The following is a 21930-nucleotide window of genomic DNA, read 5'->3' as shown; positions in this document are numbered from 1 at the left end:
TAAAAAAAAAAAAAAGAGAGATGGCTACCTGACCACTCTAATTCCCTTCCAGTAGGGTTCCCAACAGCCCATCCTTGTCTTATTTTCTCAGTTATTTCCCTTGACCTCTTCTGATGTTCAGCAGTGTTGACCACCTCTCCTTCTGGAAACCCTTTTCTTGGCTTCCATATACATATGAGTAGAAATTCCTGTAGCCAGACTTTGGAGTTTGAACCTGGCTCTATCACTTACTAGCTAGGTGACCGTGGGCAAGTTAGTTAACTAGTCTAGGCCTTTGTTTTATCTGTAAAATGAAGGTAAAAACTAGTTCCCACCTGATGGGGTAATTGTGAGGATTAAATGAGTCAACACTTTGAACTGTGCCTATAATATAGTAAGTGCTCAATAATTATCTTGAGTTAAATTTTGTATAAGGTGTAAGTAAGAGGTCCAATTTCTGTTTTCTGCATATGGCTAGCCAGGTTTCTCAACACCATTTATTAAATAGGGAATCCTTTCTCCAGTGCTTGTTTTTGTCAGGTTTGTCAAAGATCAGATGGTTGTGGAAGTGTGGCATTATTTCTGAGGCCTCTGTTCTGTTCCATTCATTTACATATCAGTTTTGGTACCAGTACCATGCTGTTTTGGTTACTGTAGCCTTGTAGTATAGTTTGAAGTCAGGTAGTGTGATGCCTCCAGCTTTGTTCTTTTTGCTTAAGATTGTCTTGGCTATATGGGCTCTTTTTGGGTTCCATATGAAATGTAAAGTGTTTTTTTCCAAATCTGTGAAGAAAGTCAGTGGTAGCTTGATGGGGATAGCATTGAATCTATAAATCACTTTGGGCAGTATGGTCATTTTCACAATATTGATGTTTCCTATCCACGAGCATGGAATGTTTTTCCATTTGTTTGTGTCCTCTCTTATTTCCTTGAGCAGTGGTTTGTAGTTCTCCTTGAAGAGGTCCTTCACATCGCTTGTAAGTTGTATTACTAGGTATTTTATTCTCTTTGTAGCAATTGTGAATGGGAGTTCACTCATGATTTGGCTCTCTATTTGTCTATTATTGGTGTATAAGAAAGCTTGTGATTTTTGCACATTGATTTTGTATCCTGAGACTTTGCTGAAGTTGCTTATCAGCTTAAGGAGATTTGGGGTTAAGACGATGGGGTTTTCTAAATATACAATCATGTCATCTGCAAACAGAGACAATTTGACATCCTCTCTTCCTATTTTAATACCATTTATTTATTTCTCTTGCCTAATTGCCCTGGCCAGAACTTCCAGTACTATGTTAAACAGGAGTGGTGAGAGAGGGCATTCTTGTCTTGTGCTGGTTTTCAAAGGGAATGCTTCCAGCTTTTGCCCATTCAGTATGACATTGGCTATGGGTTTGTCATAAATAGCTCTTAATATTCTGAGATACGTTCCATTAATACCTAGTTTATTGAGAGTTTTTAGCATGAAGGGGTGTTGAATTTTATCAAGGGCCTTTTCTGCATCTGTTGAGATAATCATGTGGTTTTTGTCATTGGTTCTCTTTATGTGATGGAGTACGTTTATTGGTTTGTGTATGTTGAACCAGCCTTGCATCCCAGGGATGAAGTTAACTTGATTGTGATGGATAAGCTTTTTGATGTGCTGCTGAATTCAGTTTGCCAGTATTTTATTGAGAATTTTCGCATCAATGTTCATCAGGGTTATTGGCCTGAAATTTTCTTTTTTTGTTGTGTCTCTGCCAGGTTTTGACATCAGAATGATGCTGGCCTCATAAAATGAGTTAGGGAGGAGTAGTTTGGAATAGTTTCAGAAGGAATGGTACCAGCTCCTCTTTGTACCTCTGGTAGAATTTGCCTGTGAATCCGTATGGTCCTGGGCTTTTTTTGGTTGGTAGGCTATTAATTACTGCCTCAATTTCAGACCTTGTTATTGGTATATTCAGGGATTCGACTTCTTCCTGGTTTAGTCTTGGAAGGGTGTATTCATCCAGGAATTTATCCATTTCTTCTAGATTTTCTAGTTTATTTGCATAGAGGTGTTTACAGTATTCTCTGATGGTAGTTTGTATTTCTGTGGGATCAGTGATCTACCCTTTATAATTTTTTATTGTGTCTGTTTGATTCATCTCTCTTTTTTTCTTTATTAGTCTGGCTAGCTGTCTATCTATTTTGCTAATCTTTTCAAAAAAAAAAAAAACAGTTCCTGGATTCACTGATTGTTTTTGAAGCGTTTTTCATGTCTCTATCTCCTTCAGTTCTGCTCTGATCTTAGTTATTTCTTGTCTTCTGCTAGCTTTTGAATTTGTTTCCTCTTGCTTCTCTAGCTCTTTTAATTGTAGTGTTGGGGTGTTGATTTTAGCTCTTTCCTGCTTTCTCCTATGGGCATTTAGTGCTATAAATTTCCCTGTCAACACTGCTTTAGCTGTGTCCTAGAGATTCTGGTACGTTATGTCTTTGTTCTCATTGGTTTCAAACAACTTCTTTATTTCTGCCTTAATTTCGTTATTTACCCAGTAGTTATTCAGGAGAAGGTTGTTCAGTTTCCATGCAGTTGTGCGGTTTTGAGTGAGTTTCTTAATCCTGAGTTCTATTTTGATTGCACTGTGGTCTGAGAGACTGTTATGGTTTCCGTTCTTTTGTATTTGCTGAGGAGTGCCTTACTTCCAATTATGTGGTCAACTTTAAAATAGGTCCGATGTGGTGCTGAGAAGAATGTATATTCTGTTAATTTGGGGTGGAGAGTTCTGTAGATGTCTATTAGGTCCACTTGTTCCAGAGCTGAGTTCAAGTCCTGAATATCCTTGTTAATTTTCTGTCTCGTTGATCTGTCTAATATTGACAGTGGGGTGTTAAAGTCTCCCACTATTATTGTGTGGGAGTCTAAGTCCCTTTGTAGGTCTCTAAGAAGTTGTTTTATGAATCTGGATGCTCCTGTATTGGGTGCATATATATTTAGGATAGTTAGCTCTTCTTGTTGCATTGATCCCTTTACCATTATGTAATGCCCTTCTTTGCCTTTTTTGATTTTTGCTAGTTTAAAGTCTGTTTTATCAGAGACTAGGATTGCAATCCATGCCTTTTTTGCTTTCCATTTGCTTGGTAAATATTCCTCCATCCCTTTATTTTGAGCCTATGTGTGTCTTAGCACATGAGATGGGTCTCCTGAATACAGCACACTGATGGGTCTTGTCTCTATCCAATTTGCCAGTCTGTGTCTTTTAATTGGGGCATTTAGCCCATTTACATTTAAGATTAATATTGTTATGTGTGAATCTGACCCTGTCATTATGATGCTAGCTGGTTATTTTGCCCATTAGTTGATTCGGTTTCTTCATAGTATCGATGTTCTTTACAATTTGGTATGTTTTTGCAGTGGCTGTTACTGGTTTTTCCTTTCCATATTTAGTGCTTCCTTCAGGAGCTCTTGTAAGGCAAGCCTGGTGATGACAAAATCTCTCAGCATTTGCTTGTCTGTAAAGGATTTTATTTCTCCTTCACTTATGAAGCTTAGTTTGGAAATGAAATGAAATTCTGGATTGAAAATTCTTTTCTTTAAGAATGTTGAATATTGGCTGCCACTCTCTTCTGGCTTGTAGGGTTTCTGCAGAAAGATCCGCTGTTAGCCTGATGGGCTTCCCTTTGTGGGTAACCCGACCTTTCTCTAGCTGTCCTTAACATTTTTTCCTTCATTTCAACGTTGGTGAATCTGACAATTATGTGTCTTGGGGTTGCTCTTCTCGAGCAGTATCTTTGTGGTGTTCTCTGTATTTCCTGAATTTGAATGTTGGCCTGTCTTGCTAGGTTGGGGAAGTTCCCCTGGATAATATCCTGAAGAGTGTTTTCCAACTTGGTTCCATTCTTCCCGTCACTTTCAGGTACACCAATCAAACATAGGTTTGGTCTTTTCATATAGTCCCATATTTCTTGGAGGCTTTGTTCATTCCTTTTCATTCTTTTTTCTCTAATCTTGTCTTCACGCTGTAATTTCATTAAGTTGATCTTCAATCTCTGACATCCTTTCTTCTGCTTGATCAATTCAGCTATTGATACTTGTATATGCTTCATGAAGTTCTTGTGCTGTGGTTTTCAGCTCCATCAGGTCACTTATATTCTTCTCTAAACTGGTTATTCTAGTTAGCAATTCCTCTAACCTTTTTTCAAGGTTCTTGGCTTCCTTCCATTGGGTTAGAACATGCTCCTTTAGCTTGGAGGAGTTTGTTATTACCCACCTTCTGAAGCCTACTTCTGTCAATTCATCAAACTCATTCTCTGTTCAGTTTTGTTCCCTTGCTGGCAAGGAGCTGTGATCCTTTGGAGGAAAAGAGGCCTCTGGTTTTTGGAATTTTCAGCCTTTTTGCACTGATTTTTCCTCATCTTTGTGGGTTTATCTACCTTTGTTCTTTGATGTTGGTGACCTTCATATGTGGTTTTTGCGTGGACGTCCTTTTTGTTGATGTTGATGCTATTCCTTTCTGTTTGTTGGTTTTCCTTCTAACAGTCAGGCCCCTCTGCTGCAGGTCTGCTGGAGTTTGTTGGAGGTCCACTCCAGATCCTGTTTGCCTAGGTATCACCAGCAGAGGCTGAAGAACAGCAAAGATTGCTTCCTGTTCCTTCCTCTGGAAGCTTTGTCCCAGAGGGACCCCCACTAGATGCCAGCCGGCGCTCTCCTGTATGAGGTGTCTGTCAACCCCTGCTGAGAGGTGTCTCCCAGTCAGAAGGCACAGGGGTCAGGGACCCACTTGAGGAGGCAGTCTGTCCCTTACCAGAGCTTGAGCGCTGTGATGGGAGATCCGCTGCTCTCTTCAGAGCCAGCAGGCAGGAATGTTTAAGTCTGCTGAAGCTGCGCTCACATCCGCCCCTTCCCCCAGGCGGTCTGTCCCAGGGAGATGGGGATTTTGTCTGTAAGCCCCTGAATGGGGCTGTTACCTTTCCTTCAGAGATGCCCTGCCCAGTGAGGAGGAATCTAGAGAGGCAGTCTGGTTACAGTGACTTTCCCGAGCTGCGGTGGGCTCTGCCGAGTTTGAACTTCCTGGCGGCTTTGTTTACATTGTGAGGGGAAAACTAACTACTCAAGCCTCAGTAATGGCAGATGCCCCTCCCCCCCCACAAAGCTCAAGCGTCTAAGGTCGACTTCAGACTGCTGTGCGCGCAGCGAGAATTTCAAGCCAGTGGATCTTAGCTTCCTGGGCTCCGTGGGGGTGGGACCTGCTGAGCTAGACCACTTGGCTCCCTGGCTTCAGCCCCCTTTCCAGGGGAGTGAACAGTTTTGTCTCACTGGCATTCCAGGCGCCACTGGGGTACGAAAAAAAAACTCCTGCAGCTAGCTTGGTGTCTGCCCAAATGACCACCCAGTTTTGTGCTTGAAACCCAGGGCCCTGGTGGTGTAGGCACCCGAGGGAATCTCCTAGTCTGCAGGTTGCAAAGACCACGGCAAAAGCGTAGTATCTGGGCTAGAGTGCACCATTCCTCAAGGCACAGTCTCTCACGGCTTCCCTTGACTCGGGGAGGGAGTTCCCCAACCCCTTGTGCTTCCTGGGTGATGCAGAGCCCCACCCTGCTTCAGCTCAGCCTCCGTGGGCTGTACCTACTGTCTAACCAGTCCCAGTGTGATAAGCTGGGTACCTCAGTTGGAAATGCAGAAATCACCTGCCTTCTGCATTGATCTTGCTGGGAGCTGCAGACCGGAGCCGTTTCTACTTGACCATCTTGCCAGCCACCACTGTTAGTGTTCCACTAGGAACACTGGTGTCCTTTCCCTGCCTCAGTGAAAGCATGAGTTGAGATACAGCTTCTATCGGCCTGGGTCCCCAGGTAATATTAGTGTTCCTCTTATAAGAACACTAATCCTATCAGATCAGGGCCCTGCCCTTAAGACCTCATTTAATCTTAATTAGTTCCTTAGAGTCCCCATCTTCAAATACGCTGGGGGTTAGGGCTCTAACTTATGAATTTTAGACAGACATAAACATTTAGTCCATAGCATTCATTGTGCTGTGTGTATTAGCAGAACTTTATAAACCACAATAAGCTTTATTAACATAAGAAATGATACATGGGATGATAATGCCTTGGTGCCTCTCCTATACCTGGATCACCTTCTCAGTGTCCTTTAATGGCTGAGACTCTTTCCCCTGCTTCCTTAATGTAACATACTCCAAAGCTCATTTCCTGGTCCTTGTAAAATCCATTTTGTTATTCTACATTTTCTTGAAGGTCTTATCCACTAATCTCACCAAGGTTGATGACTGCAAGTATGGGTCTACAACCCTAAGATATCTCCCTAAACTTCAGAACCTTGCATCCCTAACCTCCTGTTGGGTCCCACCATTCATTCAGACTCAACATATACAAAACCAAAATCATCATTTTGTTTTCACAAAGAGGTTGCCCTCTGGGCTTTGTCCTCAATGATATGCTCATCCCCAAAGCAAACATGGCCTAGTCTTGCCAGGTATCCCCTGGCATGTAAAAGAGAGCTCTGAGAATGGATCTTGTGGGGAGCATTCCAGATCCACTCCCAGTGAAATAGAAACCGCCTCTCATTTCTCTAAGGTCTGCCCCTTCCACTCTGAACATTCACAGGATTATGGATTATCTATGCACAGGGGTGGGCTGCGGGAATGAGAGTGCCTATGAATAAAGCCGCTTCAGTAAAACACGAACACTCTAATTCCAGGTCCACCAGCACTTAGTCACAAGCCTCCCTCCCTCATATCTTACAGTTCTGATAATATTGTCTATGTTTTTATCTGACAGCGCCCCCTGCCCCATCATGCCCCACCATGGCGTCTGTGTTGGGGCAGACTGCTGGATTGGTGGAGGAGTCAGAAGCACGCAAGGGGTAGATCTTGACTGAAGTGGCTCAGGGCTCTGTGGATATCAGACTGTGTGGTGGCACCTTTAATATTCCCTGGAGCAACATCTACTATTCTTGCAAACAACCTAATAAAAGTCACCTGGACTTAACGAGGAAGGCATTCAGGGAATTTCACTGGAGCTTCCTGCCTGCTAGTCACTAGGGCCAGCCACAGATATTCCATTTCTCCTCCTTTGAGCACATAGTGGGAGGGTACCTCCCTTCCCCCTTGGAAGTTAGGTGTGATTTGTGACTTGCTTTGGCCAATGAGATGTGAGCAGAAACAATGTGGATCAATTCTAATTGAAGCTTTAAGAACCTGAGTCTGTATGGCTGGCTATCATTAAGTCAAAAATAACAAGATGCTGGCAAGGTTGTGGAGAAAAAGGAACACTTATACACTGTTGGTGGGAGTGTAAATTAGTTCACCCATTGTGGAAGACACTGTGGCAATTCCTCAAAGACTTAGAGACAGAAATACCATTCAGCCCAGCAATCCCATTTCTGGGTACATACCCAAAGGAATATAAATCATTCTATTATAAAGACACATGCATGCATTATGAACATATGCATGTATGTTCTTTCATTGGCACTATTCACAATAGTAAAGACATGGAATCAACCTAAATGCCCATCAATGATAAACTTGATAAAGAAAATGTCGTATATATATATATATACCATGGAATACTATGCAGCCATAAAAAAGAATGAGATTATGTCCTTTGCAGGGACACGGATGGAGCTGGAGGCCATTATCCCCAGCAAACTAATTCAGGAACAGAAAACCAAATACTGCATATTCTCACTTATAAGTGGGAGCTAAATGAAGAGAACACATGGACACAGACAGGGGAACAACACACACTGGAGCCTATCAGAGGGCAGAGACTGGGAGGAGGGAGAAGGTCAGGAAAAATAACTAATGGATTACTAAGCTGAATAACTGGGTGATGAAATAATCTGTATAACAACCCCCCATGACACGTTTGCCTATGTAATAAACCTGTACATCCTGCACATGTACCGCTGAACTTAAAATAAAAGTTAGAAAAAAAAAAACAAAAACAAAGAATTTGAGCCTAGGTCACTTGTTCCCTTTCCCTGCCTCAGTGAAATCATGAGTTGAGATACAGCTTCTACCAGCCTGGGTCCCCAGGTAAGCAAAATACACCCACCCTTACACGTGGAAGGTGAACAGCAGGCAAGCTTTTGTCATGTTAAGTCATTTGGATCTGGGGGTTATTTGTTACTGTAACATAAGCCAGCCACTGCTGACAGATACAATCACTGTTCATGTCACCAGTTGGCGACCTTCACTTTCTGACTCAGCCTCCCCTCTGGCTTTTCAGTTGCCACTCTTTAGTTCAGCTCTCAGGGACACACAGTGCACTCAAGCTACCCAAACATAAAGCTGCCCCCTAGCAGTTTTAAGGATTAAAACTGATATCTGATGCCCTATAGCCTATAGCAACCCAGCAAAACTCCAGTCTCATGCTGCAGCCCCATTACCCTTGGCATGAAAACAGGTAGAATTTGCTCCAATCTCAGCACCTAAACAAGTGGCTTCCTATGAAACTGCCCATGCTCGGTGTAATGGACATATATATTTATTGTCCAAGACAGAGAGTGAAAGGGGACTGGGACGACAGGCATAAACTATCACTGTCCTGGGTGAACTGGGATGCACGGGCACCCTAATTCCACTTTTGCCATCTTTACAGTAATAGGTCCCAGGCTATGAGAAAAATTCCTGGAGGCATTATCTAAGGATAGGTCACCAAATCCAGGAAATGCAATTAAAGGCTTAAGAAGAACCATCTGGTAAAATTAATGTGTTTATCAGAGAGTATACTCCGCTTTTACTATTCTATGTGGCATTGCACTGAATGAGCGCAGCTGTTTCCCTAAGTAGGCACATGTGAATAGCAGTAGACATCCAAACAAAACCAAGAGCCCGATGCAAAATCCAGCCGTAAAGCCCTGCAGAAGCATTAGCAGTGTCTTCCTCCCGCCGGTCAGCCTGGGAGCCATTTAAGAGGAGGAAGGATAAAATCAAGAAAACAATCTTAGCAGCAAAAAGAATTATTTAAACAAAGCCAAAGTAAACTCAACTTCAGTGACCATAGGCTTCCTCTCTCCTTCTAGGCATGTGAAAAATATCAATGTCAGTGACCATTTTAAAAGACTGCATTATTTTCTAGTAACACATGGTAAAGGATAGCTGATTAATCCACATTAGGATGCTAATTAGTTGATTCAACATCTCAGTGGCTTCCAGTAAAGAAGTATGCACTGATTTTGGTAGAAGAATGTTTTCCTGTCTGTCTCAATCCCCACTTCCCTATCTCCTCTTCATGCGATGTGGGTCCCCTACCATAGGGTTGGTCACATGACCTGAGCTAACCCAAGTACCCCATCCCCCAAACTAGGTTCCAGGGATGGGAACAGGATCCAAACAAGACCATGGTATAGTTTGTCTGGGATTGGAACAGTCACTAGGTATATTAGTTTCCTAGGACTGATGTAATATATCACACAAACTGGTTGGCGTCCTGTTGAACACAAACAAGAGAAATGTATTCTCTCACAGTTCTGGAGGCCAGAAATCCAAAATCAATGTGTTGGTAGGGTCACTCTCCCTCCAAAGTCTCTGGAGGAAGGATCCTTCCACGCATTTTCCTGGTTTCTGGAAGTTGCTGGCAATCCTTGGCGTTCCTAGGCTCATAGCTGCATCACTTTAGTCTCTGCCTCTGCCTTCACATGGGCTGTCTTCCCCCTGTCTGTGTCTTCCCATGGTGCTCTCTGTGTGGGTCCCCAGTCACAATGGATTAGGGCCTATTCTACTCTACTGTGACCTCATCTAAACTTATATCTTAATTAGATCTGCAAAGACCCTCTTTCCAAAGAAGGTTACATCACAGGTACCAGGGGTAGGCTGGAGTGCAATGGTGCCATCTCGGCTCACCGCAACCTCTGCCTCCTGGGTTCAAGTGATTCTCCTGCCTCAGCCTCCTGCGTAGCTGGGATTACAGGCATGTGCCACCAAACCCAGGTAATTTTTTCTATTTTCAGTAGAGATGGGGTTTCACCACGTTGGTCAGGCTGGTCTCGAACTCCCGACCTCAGGTGATCAACCTGCCTCAGCCTCCCAAAGTGCTGGGATTACAGGCGTGAGCCACCGCACCTGGCCTAGGGGTACCTTTAATAAATCTTTTTGGGGGTGCAATTCAGCCCTCAAGACCAGGTGAGAGAGTCCCTCCCAGTATGATTGCAAGCTCAAACCCATGGTAAGCCTTCTCGCCTGCCCGAGACAGAAGTAAACAGAACCTAGAGATGGAGAAAGATGAGAAAGGCAGGGTCCTAATGTTACTGATTCCCTGGAATGCAGCCACATTTGAATCCCAGGCCACCTCTTGCATTTCCCAGTAACATGACCAACAAAATACCTTTCTGATCAAAATGTATTTAGTTTGGGTTTCTGTCACTTACAACCAAGAGTTCCAATTAATATATCCACCAATGAATAATGCTCTGTAATGTGAATTCAAGCAGTTTCCCATAATCTGGGTGGGAGAGAGAGGATGGAAATATTTGTGAAAAAGATTGGTCATGGGCTGATAACTAATGGAATTAAGTGGGTACATAGGAGCTTATCACACTATTATACTATTCTCCCTACTTTTACCTATGTTTGAAATTTTCCAAAAAATCAGTTAAATCAAATGTTCAAAAAATAAGTTCTTCCAGGTCTTAAAGTCTAGCACAAATCAGAGGGGAAAAAAATAACAGAAAAAGTAGACCCATACATAAGCCAGACAACAGCAGGCATTCACATGTAATACATGAAAACATTAGCAAAGTTTTCTTTGTGGTTTGCATAGGGCTATCAATATTAGACCTGCATCTACCAGACCTCAAGGTCTTAGACAACAACAGCTGGCTGATGGCCACCTCAGACCACGCAGAAAAGGTCTGGCAAGGCAGCTTCTGCTCCTGGGGAAATTACAGAACGCACACTGCTCAGTGTAGTGTGGAATTCATCTTTCCCCCCAGGTAATCACAATAAAGCAGCTATTATCCACAGCCAGCCATAAAGCAAGGGTGCAGCTCAGACAAAAGACAGGGTCACTTCTTCTCTAAATGTTCACTGGAAAGCATTGTTGTTCTGACACAAGAATGTATTTCAGGATTTATCAAATACCCATGATTCTGTCCCTCAATGTAGGCTGAGTCATCCCCTCTTAGATGAGAGGTTCTCTACCCTAGCTACCCATAAGAATCACCTGGGATCTTTAAGAAATCCTGATGTTCAGACTGCATCCCAGACCAATTAAATCACAATCGCTGGGGAGGGGTCTAGGCATCAGTGTCTCTAGGAGGCTCCTCAGTGATTCTGAAGAGCAACCAGGGCTGAGAACCACTGTGCTGGACAGACCTACATCTGTGAGCCAGTTGAGGCAGTTGCTCACTTTGGATACATGCCTCACTTCTCTAAGGCATCTGCTACTATCAGCTGGAGCAAACTCACCTCTGGATCTACTCTAGCGAGTAGATCTCAATCAATCCAGAACCTTGTTCCTTCTTCTTTGTATTAGTTTCCTAGAGCTGCATGACAAAATACCATAACCTTGATGACTTCAAACAAGAGAAATTTATTCTCACAGTTCTAGAGGCTGGCAGTCCAAAATCAAGGTGTTGGCAGGACCACGCCCACTTTGAAGGCTCTAGGCAAGGATGCTTCCTTGTCTCTGCCTAGCTCTTGGTGGCTGCCAGCAGTCCTTGTTGTTACCTTGTAGAAGCATCACTCCAATCTCTGTCTTCATCATCACTTGGCATACTCCCTGTATGTCTGTGTCCTTTCTCCTCTTCTTTTTTTTTGTTTTTTGTTTTTTTTTGAGACGGAGTTGCACTCTTGTTGTCCAGGCTGCAGTGCAATGGCGTGATCTCAGCTCACCACAACCTCCGCTTCCCAGGTTCAAGCGATTCTCCTGCCTCAGCCTCCCAAGTAGCTGGGATTACAGGCATGCACCACCACGCCAGGCTGATTTTCTATTTTTTAGCAGAGACGGGGTTCTCCATGTTGGTCAGGCTGGTCTTGAACTCCCGACCTCAGGTGATCCACCTGCCTTGGCCTCCCAACTTTCTCCTCTTATCAGAACACAAGTCATTCCAGATTAAGAGCCCACTCTACTCCAATATGAACTCAACATAACTGATTACATCTGCAATGACTCTATTTCCAAATAAGGTCACATTCTAAGGTTCCAGGAAGAATACCAATTTGGGTGGTGGGTGGGGGCAGTATTTAACCCAGTGCACTCTTCCTCACCCATATTAAGTGAGTATTACACTTTGTCTTCACCAGAATCCATGTAAGACATAGCTAATTGGGAGTACAATGCCTTCAAGACGTTTTATTTTGAAATCATTTTAGATTTACAGGAAAGTTACAAAGATAGTACAAAAGTTCCTGTATACCCTTTCTTTACCCAGCTTCGCATAATGTTAACATGTTACAAAACCATTTACAGGCTGGGTGCGGTGGCTCACGTCTGTAATCCCAGTACTTTGGGAGGCTGAGGCGGGTGGATCACTTGAGATCAGGAGTTCGAGGTCAGCCTGGCCATCATGGCAAAACCCTGCCTCTACTAAAAATACAAAAATTAGCCAGGCGTAGTGTTGCACACCTGTAATCCCAGCTACTCGGGAGGCTAAGGCAGGAGAATCGCTTGAACCTGGGAGGCAGAGGTTGCAGTGAGCTGAGATCACGCCACCGCACTCCAGCCTGGGCAATAGTGCAAGACTCCACCTCAAAAACAAAACAAAAACAAAAAACAAACAATTTATAAAAACTAAGACATTAACGCTGGTACAATACTATTAACTAAACTATACAATTTATGCCTATTTCACTAGGTTTTCCAACAATGCCCTTTTTCTGTTTCAGGATCCAAATCAGGATACCACCTTAAATTTAACATAATGCCCTTAAAAATGAAAAAGGTCAGAACCAAGCTCTATCCACAGAATCAAATCAAAATTTCACTTTGGCATCCTTCTTTTGCTCACCCTTCACCCTGTTCCCCACCCGTTGTATGTGCACTCAGCTAGCTCTATGTTTCCTCTGTACATCCTTCCTGCTTGAATTTGATAGTCTCAATTTTTCAGTCAAGTTAGTTCTTAACAATTTTGAGGTCATGGGACCACTCTGAGAATCTAATAGAAGCTATGGAGTCTCTGAGAACACTGCACAGATAAAAACAATTTAGCATCCAATTTCAGAGCAGTCAGATACTAATCCACTTCCCTCCTCCCCAAGGGCCTCTAAGTATAGAACCACCTTGCACAGTTTGGCTTCCCCAGGCATTGATTCTGCAATAAAATCATCACAACTCACTATCAATCCCTCTTCCAAGGCAATTTCTCCAGATCCTGCACATTGTGCAGTGCTCCATACTCTGGGTCTTGGCCAACCTTAGCTGTCCAGCCACTGCCTCGGGCTGAAGCTGAGAAGGGCTGGCTGGGCAGAGCTCTTCCACTGGGCCCTGAAGGCAGCTGGACTCCCTCTCCAGCCAACTTGGCTGTGAGCATAGAACCCCCACAAATTCTGCTTGACCCAACACCTCTTCTGAGCCCACTTTCTCCAGGGGTGGGTAGAAATATCTCAGAATGTTAAAACTTCTCAGTCCGCAAGCCATGTTATCATCTGGATTTCAACAAAGAAAAGTGACTCCAGCATGCAGAGTGGGATCAACTTGCTCTACCAACTCTGGATCTTCTGTCATCTGGAAATGACGGGGATCTTGTACTCACGGGCAATGCCTGCCTACTATTATCTTTGGAATCAGCATGTGAGGCCCCCTACAGGTGAGAACCATACAACTGTACAACCCCACATGTTCTCTTAAGCTCCCATACTACCCCTTGTAGCAGGAACCAAGGAAAGGGAAACTCCATCTGCACTCACGGCTCACAACTTTATGTTTGAACCTCTTCTCCAACTGATTCCTTGAACCCTGTTCTGTCCCCCTCACCCTGCCATCCTTGGATGTTGCTTGTTTCCATCAGTGCCTCATCCATCTGACTCATGCCGAAGATGGTCCAGGCGTCACCTGAGCTATGCTACCTTTGGTAAAGACCCATGCAGGCTTCTCTTTGCCCTGGAGTCACACTTTCTCCCCTATTGACACCCCAGCCAGGATCACACCAATACCTCCAACATCAATCAGAAGTCAACAAGAATGGAAAACAGACTAAAGTAACTTCTATGGACAGGGCTGGGTCTATTCTTACCTTCTGCAAATGGTTCCCACTCATAAAACCGGCCCATGAATGGCTTGTTGTTGTAGGATGCACACTGTACCTCCCGGATACTTCTACTGCTTTCTGGACATACCTAATAAAGCAGATATTAAATATGCAATTAGTGTCCATACTTTTCATAGCTCCAGGATACATTTCCAAACCCTGGATACCTTTCCAACTTTATTTATTTTTTATTTTTATTCTTTATTTATTTATTTTTTTTTTTTTGAGATGGAGTCTCACCCTTGTCGCCCAGGCTGGAGTGCAGTGGCCCAATCTCGGCTCACTGCAACCTCCACCTCCCAGGTTCAAGTGATTCTCCTGCCTCAGCCTCCCAAGTAGCTGGGATTACAGGCACCCACCACCACACCTGGCTAATTTTTGTATTTTTTGTAGCGATGGGCTTTCACCATGTTGGCCAGGCTGGTCTTGAACTCCTGACCTTAGGTGATCCACCCGCCTCAGCCTCCCAAAGTGCTGGGATTACAGGCGTCAGCCACCGCGCCGGGCCCCTTTCCAACTTTAAATACCAGCCCTCTTCTACCTAAACTACTGGGTTTCTGAACATTTGCTCAAAACCTGCATCAAAAAGTTTAAATGCAGATCCCCAGGCTTCATGTATACCAACTCAGAATCGTTATAGGGGCAAGAAACTTTTAACAAGCTCCCTAGGTTATTTTTTTGCACACTATAATTTGAAAACCACTGATCTAAACCTTCTACTTCTGACAAATCAGTTTACTCCATTCTCTCAAAGAGGCCATCTGCTTCTGTTTGACTTTGTTCATGCCATTCCCCTTGCATGGAATAGTAGCCACGGCAGACATGTTCAGAGCCCTTACCTTTGCCAGGCACTACTTTAAACATGTTCCACATGTGAACTCATTTAATCTTCACAACAACCAATAAGGTAAACACTGTAGTTTTACAGATTTTTCATGAGAGCAAACTGAGGCATGGAGGAGTCACACAGCCAGTGAGGTGTGGGGCCTGGATTTAAATGCAAGCAGCCTGGTTCCCACCAGGCTGTCTCTCATTGTCCGCCCCATCTTCTCTAAATTCTAGTCTAAATTCTGTCCCACATGAAGCAGGAATTTCCGACCTTCTGCATGCAAAACAATCACCCAGAGATCTTTCTGGAAATGCAAACTTCTGGATCCCTCCCTTAAGGATTATTATTCAGTAAATCTGGGATAAGATCCAGAGATCTGTATTTTATCAAGTTTATCCAGGTGATCCTGATGCACTAGACTACTCAAGGAAAACATACTGCTCCCTCTGGCTTATCTCTTCCTCATTTATAAATGGTAAATATGAGCAAAGTGTGGCATAAAGTAAATAAGTATGAGACAGAAAATAACAAGATCAGAATCTCTAATTCATATTGTGGATAAAGTATGATCTAGCTTTGTTGAACCCAAGCTATACTCTGTTTAAGAGAGTGTGTATGTGTGTGTGTGTGTTTGTGTGTGTGTGTGTGAATAATCAGAAGGAAAAGGAGCCTGGCCCCTGAAACATTAAACAGTACTGTGTAGAAGTCTCTGGAATAAACTGCTAATAGGATAGTTCAAAGTCTTCAAGGATTTGTAGAGAAATCTACTGTATGTATCAGAAATATTAGGTCTCCCGGAAGATGAGGGACCAGAAGAAGGACTGAAAACAGGTGTGAGGGTAAACATCTCCTGCTTGATTAAGGACAGTCGCAGTTGGGGAGGCTGCTGGTACAAATGCCCAGCGTGGTCATTACCCTGCTGTGGCCTGAGCCGAACCATATGGAGCAAGAAGCCCCCTAAAGCAGAAAATGATGGAAACTGGTAGGAAAAAACAGGCAGGGTGAACAAGCAGGGTGGGCTGAGCTCTGACAATCAGGGAGAGGCGGACAGGCCACAGAAGCCTGTCTCCTAGGGCTCTGGAAGCCAACCTGCTGGCAACCCTAAAGCTGGGCCCATGTAAGCTTCCAGCAACACCAGCTGTCTCCATGAAGGCTTTTGAGTTAACTAAGATGCTTTTCACATGCCTTTGGCCTGAGCCAGAGTTCAAGTAGGATGTGAACAGCTGGGTGACTTGGAGAGGCCACCATCCCTGCAGCAGTCCCCAAGTACGGCTTCGAGAAAGAAACCTTAAGGAGTTTGTTAAAAATGCAGATTCTCAAGCCTCACTCTGGCAGAAGAGTGGGGATGAGAGCCCAGGAATATATGCTTGAAGTGCTCCTTGGGTGATTCTGGTGTGGCCTGTGCATCCTAACCTGTGCAGCAGCGATGAAGGGCCACGCCCAAGCCCCATCTCACTCCACTCCAAATGACTTAACGTGGAATCACAGAGTGCTAGAGCAAAAGAGAATCAAATCCAACCCCTTTCATTTACAGATGAGGGAACTGAGACCTGGAGATGTGGCAAGCCTTGCCAAAGGCTCCACAGTGACACAGAAGCAGAGCCCAGAGCGCTGAAGGCCCACCCTGTCCATAATCAGAACTAGAGATCGGCTGCCGGGCCGCAGGTCTTCGTAGCAGAAACAGACCAGCACAAGTGGTTGAAGGTCCTGTTCCTCAAATAACTACAACTAAGTAAAGCCAAGCTGCTCCACAGTGAGGCTCCAGCCAGAAGCCACCCTTCATTAACCTGGTGGCAGTTACCAGAACTGGAAGCTGTAGACTACAAAGACTTAACAGTCTGCTTAACCCCTTTCTCTCAATGAGTAAAATGGCTAATAGGCTAGACCACAAACCAATGCACATTCAGAATCATCTAGAATTGCTCAGTACTTGACAACATAAATGTCTGTTTCACGACTTGGAAAGGAGTCCACAATCCACTAAGTGTTAAAAAGATTATGTGTGTGGAGTGTGTGTATACATACACAGAGAGAGGTTAAAAGTGTTATCTCTGGAAGGTGATGTTATAGATGTTTTTAATTTATAATTAATCTTTAGTCTATTTGTGTTATTTAATTTTTTCTGCAATAAACATGTAATATTTATGTAATAAAAGTGACAATTGGCCAGATGCAGTGGCTCACGGCTATAATCCTAGCACTTTGGGAGGCCGAGGCAGACGGATCACTTGAGGTCTGGATTTCGAGACCAGCCTGCCAATATAGTGTAACCCTGTCTCTATTAAAAATACAAAAAATTAGCCGGGCATGGTGGCATGCACCTGTGATTTCAGCTACTCGGGAGGCTGAGGCAGGAGAATCACTTGAACCTGTGAGGCAGAGGTTGCAATGAGCTGAGATCACGCCTCTGCACTCTAGCCTGGGCGACAAAGGAAGACTCTGTCTCCAAAAAAAAAAAAGTGACAATGTATAAGTATAGAGCCCTGCCAAATACACCAGCCCTTAGCCAACTTTGCACATCTTTGCAGTTTATAATCTTAGGGTACGGCTTAATACTCCACTAATGCCTGGTGCTCTTACATCCATACACATCTGCCACCCAACTTATTGTGGGTCATTTAGGATACCCTGTCCCTTGGTCACCAATAAGTCATTTACATCTAAGCGTAGTCCAGTTCCCATCTAAGGCAGAAAAGCTTAACATGGCATTAGAGCCACAGTGATCAGCAGATCCACCTGCAGTTGCCAGGAGTCAGCTAAGCCCAGCAGGAGGTAACAAGGTAACAAGGTGTCCTGGTGGATGGGCATGGCCCTGTGTATGACTCCAGCAAGGACTCACATGACGCCAGGCAAACTGCAAGCCTGGAGGGCAGAGGGATGTGGCCAGAGAAATGCAAGGCTTCTTGGGCCCGGACGTGGAAGTGGGTTATTGAGGCAGCATTGTGGTACAGGCAAGGAAGGCAGAAGCCTGGACTGATGATGATGATGATGATGATGATGATGATACCTAACTTTTATTGAGCATTTATTAAATGTTAGACATTCCACTATGTGATTTACATATATTCAGCTCATTTAATCCTCACAATAACTATTATACCCATTGTACAGATGAGGAACCCAAGGCAACAAAAAGTTAAATGAGCTGCATAAGGTCATAGGGCTCATAAGTGGTGAAATCAAGATTTGAACCCTGACACTTTGCATCTAGAATCCATCATAGTAACCACTATGCCATGGTGCCCTTCGTGACTGTGTAGACAACAAAGTTAATTTGTGATGGGTCCCCAGACAAGAGAGCCATAACTGTGTCTTGTCAGGATAGGGCTAGAGGCCAAAGCCGGAATCAGCCCCCGAGGCCTGGCGAAGTGGCTGGCCTCCACCACAAGGAGCAGGGAGCTGCGGAGTGAGGATGAAAACCAAGCAGGGCCTGGGAAATCCTGTTTCATGTCTCTTTTATAGATTACATCTGTTTGTACTTCTCATACTATTATCGGGATGTGATCTCTCATTTTAACAGACTCTCTGAAGTGAAAACTTCCAGGTTACAGATCCTTTTACCCCTTTCTTAGGTTTTAAATTGGTTGTTTCCTGATGTCATGGACTGAGTCACCTTCACCTTATCAGTAATTGTCTGTACATTACACTGTGAACTGGCCCTGGGGGCAGGTTTCTTGCAGATAGCTGATCCTTTTCATGGGCAGAGATTCTTGTAATCTTAAGGCCAGAAAACTGAGACAGGGGAAAAGCCATGTAGATAGAGATCAGGCTCATTCAGGATGAGACCAACAAAGTCTGGAGATTTAGAGCCAAGTAATGCCTCTGGGAGATAACCTCCCTTCAAATGACTCCCACCCAAAAGAGGGAGGGATGTTTCCACTGGACTTTTAATGGAAGAGAAATAAAGACGTACTTTAATATGATTAGCTGAATCCTTATAAAGCAATATGAGCCCTATCCAAAGTTCTATCTAGACAATTGCCTGGGGTTGCTATGAGTCACAAATAGTATTATGGAAACTCCAGCCACATTTCTAGTGACCCTGGTTAATCTGAAATGACAACTGCCTGTACCCAACTTCACTGCTCAAGAGCCACCATCAGTGATCACACTGATGGTAATTAATTACTGTCATCTCCCCAGGAGACGGACAGCATCATCTCCAATGTAGCGGTGCCAAGGAACATGACCTTGAAGGCTGCCTGCGTCAGATATGTAATTTTTTTATCCTTTTCACTGCTATGGATTCAATCAAAAGACCAGCTACCATAGCAACATATGATGTATTTAATGTCACCACAGTCATGAAACCTTTTAAAAAAAGAAATCTAGAAAATGTCCCTGCACTGCCATGAGAAAGTGGCTGTGTGACCTTGGGAAAAACATTTTGCTTCTCCAAGTCTAAACTACCACAATTGAATAACAAGCCCTGTACCACCTTCCAGGCCCCAATCCCCAGGGGTTTTTATGGGGATTTTTAAGTGGTAATACATTAATGTTTCCAGCTCTCTGTAATGCTGAATAAATGTTTGCTGAAGTGGAGACACCAAATGTCCACTGTGGAGAATCCAGTAGTTCCAGAAGCCGTAATTGCTTGAAAAGTATGTGTTCTAAGCAAACATGCCCTTCCTTCCTTTCTCATCTACAGCTGGAAAATGGGCTTGTTTTCTAGCTATAGAGAAATAAAACCATGGGCCAAAATTTCGCTCCAGTTATCTTGCACATTTTTCAAATATGTTTAATATCTCCTTTCTCAAATTACACAGAACAAACTCAACCTCACAAAAACCTTTGCCACCTCCCACCACTTCCAGAAATTCTCCAGTCAGTGAATTAACTAGTTTGTCCAAAGAGTTGGGGAAAGGCTTTGGATGTTTTTCATTGTTGTTGTTTTGTTTTGTTTTGTTTTATCTGAGATTTTTGTAATTCTCAAATGCTTTTTTTATTTTTTTCATCCAAGGAAGTTCATAATGTTCTCCTAGGGAGAGGTGTTTCCCTCTCATTCAATACCTACATCAAAGCCCCAAAGGATGTTAATATGACACTAAGCCCAGCCTTTCACCCAGGCCAATCATAGATTTTTAAATATTCGAGATCCCTTCAAATCTAGGCCTATTTCAAGAGTGCTTACTTATGACTGCCTATTTATATTATTTACATATCTCTATGTCTGTAAGAAGATCTAAAAAAGAATTCTTTTTTCCCTAACTAATCAGGAAGCACATGGCAAAATGTAAACTTGTTAAAAAATTTAGTCTGGTGTGGTGGACCCATGCCTGTGATCCCAGCACTTTGGGAGGCTAAATTGGGAGCATGTTTGAGTGCAGAAGTTCAAGACCACCGTGGGCAACATAGCAAGAACCCATCTCTACAAAAAATAAAAATAAGCTGAGCATGGTAGTGCATGCCTGTAGGCTGAGGCAGAAGGATTGTTTGAGTCCAGGAGTTTGAGGTTGTAGTGAGCTATGATCATGCCGCTGCACTCCAACCTGGACAACACAGTGAGACCCTGACTCAAGCAAAAACAAAAACGAAAACCAAACCACCTTAATCTCCCAAGGAGCACACATTTCTTAGTGGCTATTTCCGGTACCACATTAATAAGACTGGCTTCCTTCCCCTCTGCTATCTGCTGAGGCAGGGTGCAAAATTCCATTCAAAGGCAAATATTCATTGCAGCGCTCCATGTGTGAGGTGTTGACAGTAATGAGGATACAAAGAAAAATTTGCCATAATAGCCTCCCTCAGGGACTTATAGCCCAACACGAGAAAAATGCATAAACAAAAATGTATAATGCATGGAAAGGAATGTAGTGAGTTGTTTGGACACAACATTTCTAACCTTGCAAAGGAAGGAGTTAACTGATTTTTCCTAATGTTGAAAAATCAAGAAAATAAAAATTGTTAATTTACTACATATAGCCAAAAATATAAGTGAAAATAAAAATGTGGCTAGTGTAGATCAGCAGGAGTGGAAGGAAAGGGGGTCAATTCTTCATCTTCCAGAATAAGGAGTTGATGGAGAAAATTTAAGTTGATATATCAAGAAGCAGGGGTATTAATGTGCCATTTAGAGTTATAGAGAGAATGAACGTAAGAACTACAAGTTAAAAATCACTGGCTGTGATTACATCTTGAGAGACAGACAAGGATATACATGTCTTTGCTGTTCTGATATTTCTTACTCTTTGTTTGTACTTTTTATAACCATGAAAAATGACAACTGTTAACAATTCTTGTGTATATAAATGTGTGTGTGTGTATATATATATGAAGTCAATAAGAGAACAACTTTCTATAATCATGAAAAATGACAACTGTTAACAATTCTTGTGTATATAAATGTGTGTGTGTATATATATATGAAGTCAATAAGAGAACAACTTTCTATAATCATGAAAAATGACAACTGTTAACAATTCTTGTGTATATAAATGTGTGTGTATATATATATATATATGAAGTCAATAAGAGAACAACTTTCTATAATCATGAAAAATGACAACTGTTAACAATTCTTGTGTATATAAAAGTGTGTGTATATATACATATATGAAGTCAATAAGAGAACAACTTTCTATAATCATGAAAAATGACAACTGTTAACAATTCTCGTGTGTATATATTTGTGTGTATATATATGCACACACATGTTATGTATACATATATATGTGTGTGTGGTGTGTATACATGTATACATATATATACATATGTGTGTGATTCACATATAAGTGTATATACATACGTGTGTGTGTGTATATATATATGTATGAAAAGGTCAGTAAGAGAATTTTCTGTGGAAATTCCAAGTGGTCTGAGAAGACAGAAAGACAAATGCTGCAAAAACACTGATACTCGCACATATTTCCTAGATAAGGAGGCTGATGATAAGCTCATGATAAGAGAAACTAGTGTTGAAACCCCCATTCTGTCCATTCAGTAACTGGCCTCATGG

General features: G+C 42.9%; 1 protein-coding gene and 1 long non-coding RNA gene across 7 annotated transcripts in view; one reads left to right on the top strand and one right to left on the bottom strand.

The window, feature by feature from the left end:
* THSD4 (thrombospondin type 1 domain containing 4) overlaps positions 1-21930 on the bottom strand; it is a 686490-nt gene that overhangs the window by 512537 nt on the left and 152023 nt on the right. For all 5 annotated transcript variants that reach the window (NM_001394532.1, NM_024817.3, XM_047433080.1 and 2 more), the window contains one exon: positions 14132-14234. In NM_001394532.1, the coding sequence (NP_001381461.1) occupies positions 14132-14234 (103 nt within the window). The remainder of the gene's footprint in view (positions 1-14131; positions 14235-21930) is intronic.
* Positions 7837-13610, top strand: LOC105370884 (uncharacterized). Of its 2 annotated transcripts, none has more exons than XR_001751791.2 (3): positions 7837-7994; positions 12786-12841; positions 13525-13610. It is a non-coding gene; the product is annotated as an uncharacterized LOC105370884 (long non-coding RNA). The 2 variants fall into 2 exon arrangements; XR_001751790.2 differs by lacking the exon at positions 7837-7994 and adding an exon at positions 9959-10125.

This window comes from Homo sapiens, chromosome 15, assembly GCF_000001405.40.
Source record: "Homo sapiens chromosome 15, GRCh38.p14 Primary Assembly".
Lineage (NCBI taxonomy): Eukaryota > Metazoa > Chordata > Mammalia > Primates > Hominidae > Homo > Homo sapiens.
This window is presented reverse-complemented; position numbering and strand designations above follow the sequence as displayed.